General features: G+C 38.9%; 1 annotated feature.

The window, feature by feature from the left end:
* Window positions 2,348-3,547: an enhancer, noted in NCBI's record as "BRD4-independent group 4 enhancer chrX:73915317-73916516 (GRCh37/hg19 assembly coordinates)". NCBI's record gives its function as "activates an origin of replication core promoter dependent on BRD2, P300/CBP, MED14 and CDK7 cofactors, and independent of BRD4, by STARR-seq in HCT116 cells {active_cell/tissue: HCT116}" and the evidence as "EXISTENCE:reporter gene assay evidence [ECO:0000049][PMID:35650434]".

The raw sequence follows: 9,477 nt of genomic DNA on the forward strand, positions 1-9,477 counted from the left end.
CTCTGAGCCAGGTGCAGGATATAATCTCCTGGTGTGCCATTTTTTAATCCCATTGGGAAAGCACAGTATTAGGGTGGGAGTGACCCAATTTTCCAGGTGCCGTCTGTCACCCTTTTCTTTGACTAGGAAAGGGAATTCCCTGACCCCTTTCACTTCCCCGGTTAGGTGATGCCTCGCCCTGCTTCTGCTCATGCTTCGTGTGCTGCACCCACTGTCCTGCACCTACTGTCTGGCACTCCCCAGTGAGATGAACCAGTACCTCAGTTGGAAATGCACAAATCGCCCGTCTTCTGCATCGCTCACTCTGGGAGCTGTAGACCGGAGCTGTTCCTATTTGCCCATCTTGGCTCCTCCCCCTACTGAATTTTTAAATTAGTTCCAATAGTTTTCTTGTGAAGGCTTTTGGTTTTTCCAAATGTAAGATTATATCATCAGCAAACAAGGGTACTTTGACTTTTCCTTTCCAACTTGGATGCCCTTTATATCTTATTCTTGTCTGATAACTCTAGCTACAAGTTCCAGCACTACATTGAATAACAGTGGTGAAAGCGGACATCCTTGTCATGTTCCAGATCTTAGAGGAAAGACTTTCAATTTTTTGTGATTCATTCCGATACTAGCTGTTGGTCTGTAATATATAGCTTTTATTATGTTGAGGTATGTTCCTTCTATACACAGTTTTTGAAGGATTTTATCATGAAGGGATATTGAATTTTATCAAATGCTTTTTCAGCATCAATTGAAATGATCATATGGATTTGTTCTTCATTCTGTTGACATGATGTATCACAGTGATTGATTTGCATATGTTGAACCATTCTTGCTTCCCTGGGATAAACCCCGTTGATCATGATGAGTTATCTTTTTAATTTGTTGTTGTATTTTGTTTGCTAGTATTGTGTTGAGAACTTTTGCATCACTAGCAGAGATATTGGCCTATATTTTTTTTCGTTTTTTTGTTTTTTGTTTTTTGAGACAGGATCTTGTTCCATTTCTCAGGCTGGAGTGCAGTGGTGTGGTTTTGGCTCACTGCAACCCCCACCTCCTAGGTTTAAGTGATTCTCCTTCCTCAGCCTCCTGAGTAGCTGGGATTACACACACCTGCCACCACACCCAGCTAATTTTTGTATTATTAATAGAGATAGGATTTCACTGTGTTAGCCATGTTGTTCTGAAACTCCTAACCTCAAGTAATCTACCTGCCTCAGCTGCCCAAAGTGCTGAAATTACGGCATGAGCCACCACGTCTGGCCAGATATTGGCCCACGGTTTTCTGCTTTTGATGTGTCTTTGTCAGTTTTGGTATCAGGGTAATACTTTCCTCATAGAATGATTTTGAAAGTTTTCCTTCCTCCTCTATTTTTTAGAGTAATTTGAGTAGAATTGGTATTAGTTCTTCTTTAAACATTTGGTAGAATTCAGCAGTGAAGCCATTAGGTCCTGAACTTTTTTTTTGCAGGGGAATTTTTATTATGGTTTCAATCTTGTTACTTATTATTGGTCACCTCAGGTTTTGAATTTTTTCCTGGTTCAGTCTTGGTAGGTTGTATGTGTCTAGGAATGTATCAATTTCTTTTAGATTTTATAATTTATTGGCATAAAGTTGCTCTTAGTAGCCTCTAATGATCCTTTGAATTTCTGTGGTATTGGATGTAATGTCTCCTTTTTCATCTCTGATTTTATTTGCATCTTCTTTCTTTATTTCTTAGTCTGGCTAAAGGTTTGTCTATTTTGTTGAATTTAAAAAAAAAACTTTTTCTATTTTGGATCTTTTATTTTTTTGTTTCAATTTTGTTTATTTCTGCTCTAGTCTTCATTATTTTTTTTTTCTGCTAATTTTGGGTTTGGTTTTCTCTTGTTCTTCTAGTTTTTTAAGATGCATCATTAGATTGCTTATTTGAAGTTTTTGTCTTTTTTGATTTAGGTACTTATGGGTATAAATTTCCTTCTCAGCACTGCTTTTGCTGTATCCCATCGGTTTTGTGTGTAGTGTTTCCATTGCCATTTGTTTCACAAAATTTTTCAACTTTCTTCTTAATTTCTTCATTGGTCATTCAGGAGCATATTGTTTAATTTCTAAATGTTTGTATAGTTTTCAAAATGTCTATATTGATTTCTAGTTGTATTACACTGTGGTCAGAAAAGATGCTGAATGTTATTTTATTTTCTGAATTTTTTGAATGTATCAGGAGTTGTTTTGTGCCCTAACATATATTCTATTCTTGAGAATGATCCATGAGCTGAGGAGAAAAATGTGTATTCTGTAGCTATTGGATAAAGTGTTCTGTAAATATCTACTAGAACCATTTGGTCTATAGAGTAGATTAAGTCCAGTGTTTCTTTGTTGATTTTCTGTCTGGCAGATCTGTCCAATGCTGAGGGTAGAGTGTTGAAGCCTCCAGCTATTATCGTATTGGTGTCTATCTTACTCTGTAGCTCTAATAATGTTTGCTTCATATTTCTAGGTGCTCCATTGTTGGGTGCATATATATTTACAATAGGTATATCCTCTTTAACAAAAAGATTGAAATAATTAAGAAGAATCAAGCAGAAATTCTGGGCTGGAAAAATGCAATTGATGAAGGTTCCAAGATGGCCGAATAGGAACAACTCCAGTCTGCAGCTCTGAGTGTGATTGACCCAGAAGATGGGTGATTTCTACATTTCCAACTGAGGTACTTGGTTCATCTCATTGGGACTGGTTGGACAGTGGGTGTAGACCATTGAGGGTGAGCTGAAGCAGGGCGGGGCATTGCCTCACCCAGGAACCACAAGGGGTCAGGGGATTTCCTTTTCCTAGCCAAGGAAAATGATTATACCTGGAAAAATGGGACACTCCCACCCAAATACTGCACTTTTCCCAAGGTCTTAGCAACCAGCAGACAAGGAGATTCTCTCCCATGCCCAGCTCAGCAGGTCCTATGCCCATGGAGCCTTGCTCACTGCTAGTGCAGCAGTCTGAGATTGAACTGCAAGATGGCAGCCTGGCTGGGGGAGGGGCATCTGCCATTGCTGAGGCTTGAGTAGGTAAACAAAGCAGCCAGGAAGCTCAAACTGGGCAGAGGTCACCACAGCTCAGCAAGGCCTAATGCCTCTAGACTCCACCTCTGTGGGCAGGGCTTAGCTGAACAAAAGGTAGCAGACAACTTCTGCAGACTTAAACCTCCCTGTCTGACAGCTTTGAAGAGAGCAGTGGTTCTCCCAATATGGTGTTTGAGCTCTGAGAATAGACAGACTGCCTCCTCAAGAGGGTCCCTGACCCCCGTGTAGCCTAACTGGGAGACATCTCCCAGTAGGGGACTACAGACACCTCATATAGGCAGGTGCCCCTCTGGGACAAAGGTTCCAGAGGAAGGATCAGGCAGCAATATTAGCTGTTCTGAAATATTTACTGTTCTGCAGCCTCCACTGGTGCTACCCAGGCAAACAGGATCTGGAGTGGAACTCCAGCAAACTCCAACAGACCTGCAGCTGAGGGACCTGACTGTTAGAAAGAAAACTAACAAACAGAAAGGAATAGCATCAACGTCAACAAAAGGGACATCCACACCAAAACCCCATCTGTAGGTCACCAACATCAAAGACCAAAGGTAGATAAAACCACAAAAATAGGGAGAAACCAGAGCAGAAAAGCTGGAAATTCTAAAAACCAGAGCTCCTCTTCTCCTCCAAAGGATTGCAGCTCCTTGCCAGCAACAGAACAAAGCTGGACGGAGAATGACTTTGACGAGTTGACAGAAGTAGGCTTCAGAAGGTTGGTAATAACAAACTTCTCCGAATTAAAGGAGCATGTTCAAACACGTCGCAAAGAAGCTAAGAAACTGAAAAAAGGTTAGATGAATGGCTAACTAGAATAAACAGTGTAGAGAAGACCTTAAATGATCTAATGGAGCTGAAAACCATGGCACGAGAAATTCGTGACACATGCACAAGCTTCAATAACCAATTCGATCAATTGGAAGAAAGGATATCAGTGATTGAAGATCAAATTAATGAAATAAAGTGAGAAGACAAGGTTAGAGAAAAAAGAGTAAAAAGAAATAAACAAAGCCTCCAGGAAATATGGGACTATGTGAAAAGACAAAATCTACATTTGATTGGTGTACCTGAAAGTGATGGGGAGAATGGAACCAAGTTGGAAAACACTCTTCAGGATATTATTCAGGAGAACTTCCCCAACATAGAAAGACAGGCCAACATTCAAATTCAGGAAATACGGAGAGCACCACAAAGATACTCCTCGAGAAGAAGAACCCCAAGATACATAATGGTCAGATTCACCAAGGTTGGAATGAAGGAAAAAATGTTAAGGGCAGCCAGAGAGAAAGGTCGGGTTACCCACAAAGGGAAGCCCATCAGAATAACAGCAGATCTCTCTGCAGAAACCTTACAAGCCAAAAGAGAGTGGGGGCCAATATTCAACATTCTTAAGGAAAAGAATTTTCAATCCAGAATTTCATATCCAGCCAAACTAAGCTTCATAAGTGAAGGAGAAATAAAATCCTTTACAGACAAGCAAATGCTGAGAGATTTTATCACTACCACGCCAGCCTTACAAGAGCTCCTGAAGGAAGCAATAAGCATGAAAAGAAACAACCAGTACCAGCCACTGCAAAAACATGCCAAATTGTAAAGACCATCAAGGCTAAAAAGAAACTGCATCAATTAATGGGCAAAATAACCAGCTAACATCATAATGACGGGATCAAATTCACACATAACAATATTAACCTTAAATGTAAATGGGATAAATGCCCAAATTAAAAGACACAGATTGGCAAATTGGATAAAGAGTCAAGACCCATCAGTGTGCTGTATTAAGGACACCCATCTCAAATGCAAAGACCCACATAGGCGCAAAATAAAGGGATGGAGGAAGATCTACCAAGCAAATGGAAAGTAAAAAAAAGCAGGGGTTGCAATCCTAGTCTCTGATAAGACAGACTTTAAACCAACAAAGATCAAAAGAGACAAAGAAGGCCATTACATAATGGTAAAGGGATCAATTCAACAAGAAGAGCTAACTATCCTAAATATATATGCACCCAATACAGGAGCACCCAGATTCATAAAGCAAGTCCTTAGAGACCAACAAAGAGACTTAGACTCCCACACAATAATAATGGGAGACTTTAACACCCCACTGTCAACATTAGGCAGATCAACGAGACAGAAGGTTAACAAGGATATCCAGGACTTGAACTCAGCTGTGCACCAAGCAGACCTAATAGACATCTACAGAACTCTCCACCCCAAATCAACAGAATATACATTCTTTTCAGCACCACATCACACCTATTCCAAAATTGACCACATAGTTGGAAGTAAAGCACTCCTCAGCAAATGTAAAAGAACAGAAATTATAACAAACTGTCTCTCAGACCACAGTGCAATCAAACTAGAACGCAGGATTAAGAAACTCACTCAAAACCGCTCAACTATATGGAAACTGAACAACCTGCTCCTGAATGACTACTGGGTAAATAACGAAATGAAGTCATAAATAAAGATGTTCTTTGAAACCAACGAGAACAAAGACACAACATACCAGAATCTCTGGGACACATTCAAAGCAGTGTGTAGAGGGAAATTTATAGCACTAACTGCCCACAAGAGAAAGCAGGAAAGATCTCAAATTGACACCCTAACATCACAATTAAAAGAACTAGAAAAGCAAGAGCAAACACATTCAAAAGCTAGCAGAAGGCAAGAAATAACTAAGATCAGAGCAGAACTGAAGGAAATAGAGACACAAAAATCACTTCAAAATATTAATGAATCCAGGAGCTGGTTTTCTGAAAAGATCAACAAAATTGATAGACCGCTAGCAAGACTAATAAAGAAGAAGAGAGAAGAATCAAATAGACGCAATAAAAAATGATAAAGGGGATATCACCACCGATCCCACAGAAATACACACTACCATCAGAGACTACTATAAACAGCTCTATGCAAATAAACTAGAAAATCTAGAAGAAATGGATAAATTCCTCGACACATACATCCTCCCAAGACTAAACCAGGAAGAACTTGAATCTCTGAATAGACCAATAACAGGCTCTGAAATTGAGGCAATAATCAATAGCTTACCAACCAAAAAAAGTCCAGGACCAGATGGATTCACAGCCGAATTCTACCAGAGGTACAAGGAGGAACTGGTACCATTCCTTCTGAAACTATTCCAATCAATAGAAAAAGAGGGAATCCTCCCTAACTCATTTTATGAGGCCAGCATCATCCTGATACCAAAGCCTGGCAGAGACACAACCAATAAAGAGAATTTTAGACCAATATCCTTGATGAACATTTATGCAAAAATCCTCAATAAAATATTGGCAAACGGAATCCAGCAGCACATCAAAAAGCTTATCCACCATGATCAAGTGGGCTTCATCTCTGGGATGCAAGGCTGGTTCAACATATACAAATCAATAAATGTAATCAAGCATATAAACAGAACCAAAGACAAAAACCACATGATTATCTCAATAGATGCAGAAAAGGTCTTTGACAAAATTCAACAACCATTCATGCTAAAAACTCTCAATAAATTAGGTATTGATGGGACGTATCTGAAAATAATAAGAGCTATCTATGACAAACCCACAGCCAATATCATACTGAATGGGCAAAGACTGGAAGCATTCCCTTTGAAAACTGGCACAAGACAGGGATGCCCTCTCTCACCACTCCTATTCAACATAGTGTTGGAAGTTCTGGCCACGGCAATCAGGCAGGAGAAGGAAATAAAGGGCATTCAATTAGGAAAAGAGGAAGTCAGATTGTCCCTGTTTGCAGATGACATGATTGTATATCTAGAAAGCCCCATCGTCTCAGCCCAAAATCTCCTCAAGCTGATAAGCTACTTCAGCAAAGTCTCAGGATACAAAATCAATGTACAAAAATCACAAGCATTCTTATACACCAATAACAGACAAACAGAGAGCCAAATCAGGAGTGAACTCCCATTCACAATTGCTTCAAAGAGAATAGAATACCTAGGAATCCAACTTACAAGGGATGTGAAGGACCTCTTCAAGGAGAACTACAAACCACTGCTCAATGAAATAAAAGACGATACAAACAAATGGAAGAACATTCCATGCTCATGAGTAGGAAGAATCAATATCGTGAAAATGGCCATACTGCCCAAGGTAATTTATAGATTCAATGCCATCACCATCAAGCTGCCAATGACTTTCTTCACAGAATTGGAAACAACTACTTTAAAGTTCATATGGAACCAAAAAAGAGCCTGCATCACCAAGTCAATCCTAAGCCAAAAGAACAAAGCTGGAGTCATCATGGTACCTGACTTCAAACTATACTACAAGGCTACAGTAACCAAAACAGCACGGTACTGGTACCAAAACAGAGATATAGACCAATGGAACAGAACAGAGGCTTCAGAAATAACACCACACATCTACAACTATCTGATCTTTGACAAACCTGAGAAAAACAAGCAATGGGGAAAGGATTCCCTATTTAATAAATGGTGCTGGGAAAACTGGCTAGCCAGATGTAGAAAGCTGAAACTGGATCCCTTCCTTATGCCTTATATAAAAATTGATTCAAGATGGTTTAAAAACTTAAAAGTTAGACCTAAAACCATAAAAACCCTAGAAGAAAACCTAGGCAATACCATTCAGGACATAGGCACGGGGAAGGACTTCATGACTAAAACACCAGAAGCAATGGCAACAAAAGCCAAAATAGATAAATGGGATCTAATTAAACTAAAGAGCTTCTGAATGGCAAAAGAAACTACCATCAGAGTGAACAGGTAACCTATAGAATGGGAGAAAAGTTTTGCAATCTACCCATCTGACAAAGGGCTAATGTCTAGAATCTGCAAAGAACTCAAACAAATTTACAAGAAAAAAACAAACCCATCAAAAAGTGGGCAAAGGATATGAACAGACACTTCTCTAAAGAAGACATGTATGCAGCCAACAGACACATGAAAAAATGCTCATCGTCACTGGCCATCAGAGAAATGCAACTCAAAACCACAATGAGATACCATCTCACGCCAGTTAGAATGACAATCATTAAAAAGTCAGGAAACAACAGATGCTGGAGAGGATGTGGAGAAATAGAAACGCTTTTACACTGTTGGTGTGAGTGTAAATTAGTTCAACCATTCTGGAAGACAGTGTGGTGCTCCCTCAAGGATCTAGAACTAGAAATTCCATTTGACCCAGCAATCCCATAACTGAGTATATACCCAAAGGATTATAAATCATGCTACTATAAAGACACATGCATACATATGTTTATTGTGGCACTATTCACAATAGCAAAGACTTGGAACCAACCCAAATGTCCATCAATGATAGACTGGTTTAAGAAAATGTGGCACATGTACACCATGGAATACTATGCAGTCATGAAAAAGGATGAGTTCATGTCCTTTGCAGGAGATGGATGAAGCTGGAAACCATCATTCTAAGCAAACTATCAGAAGGACAGAAAACCAAACACCGCATGTTCTCACTCATAGGTGGGAATTGAACAGTAAGATCACTTGGACACAGGGTGGGGAACATCACACACTGGGGCCTGTCATAGGATCGGGGGCTGGGGAAGGGATAGCATTAGGAGAAATACCTAATTTAAATGATGAGTTGATGGGTGCAGCAAACCAACATGGCACATGTATACCTATGTATGAAACCTGCACGTTGTGCACATGTACCCTAGACCTTAAAGTGTAATAAAACGAAAGAAAAATGCAATTGACACACAGAAGAATGCATCAGAGTCTTTTTAAATGTTTCTTTATTTTTTTCTGTTTTTCTTCTAAAAAAGGGACAGTGTCTTTTAATAGCAGAATGGATCAAGCAGAATAAAGAATTAGTGAGCCTAAAGACAGGCTCTTTGAAAATACATTGTTAAATTGTTAAAATTAAAAATGTTAATTGTTAAATTGACTTCTTTATCATTGTATGGTGACCTTTGTCTCTTCTTACAGTTTTTGTCTTAACATCTGTTTTTTTCTGATATAAGTATAGTTACTCCTGCTCTTTTTGGTTTCCATTAGCATAAAACGTATTTTTCCACTCCTTTATTTTCAGTCTATGTGTATCTCTATAGGTGAAGTGTGTTTCTTCTTGGTTACAGATAATTGGGTCTTGTTGTCTTATCTATTCAGCCAGTCTAGGTGTTTTGACTGGAGCATTTAGTTCATTTATTCAATGTTATTATTGATAAGTAAGAACTTACTTCTGCCATTTTGTTAATTTTTTTTTTTCTGGTTGTTTTGTGGTCTCTTCCTTCTTTCCTTTCTGCCTGTCTTCCTTTTAGTGAATGTAATTTTTCTCTACTGGTATGTTTTAATTTTTTGTTTTTTATTTTTTATGTATCTGTTGTACGTTTTTTGGTTTGAGGTTACCATGAGGCTTCAAATACTATCTTATAACCCATTATTTTAAGCTGATAACTTAATACTGTTTGCATAAATAAAGGAAAAGA

This window comes from Homo sapiens, chromosome X (genome assembly GCF_000001405.40).
Source record: "Homo sapiens chromosome X, GRCh38.p14 Primary Assembly".
NCBI classification, from domain to species: domain Eukaryota; kingdom Metazoa; phylum Chordata; class Mammalia; order Primates; family Hominidae; genus Homo; species Homo sapiens.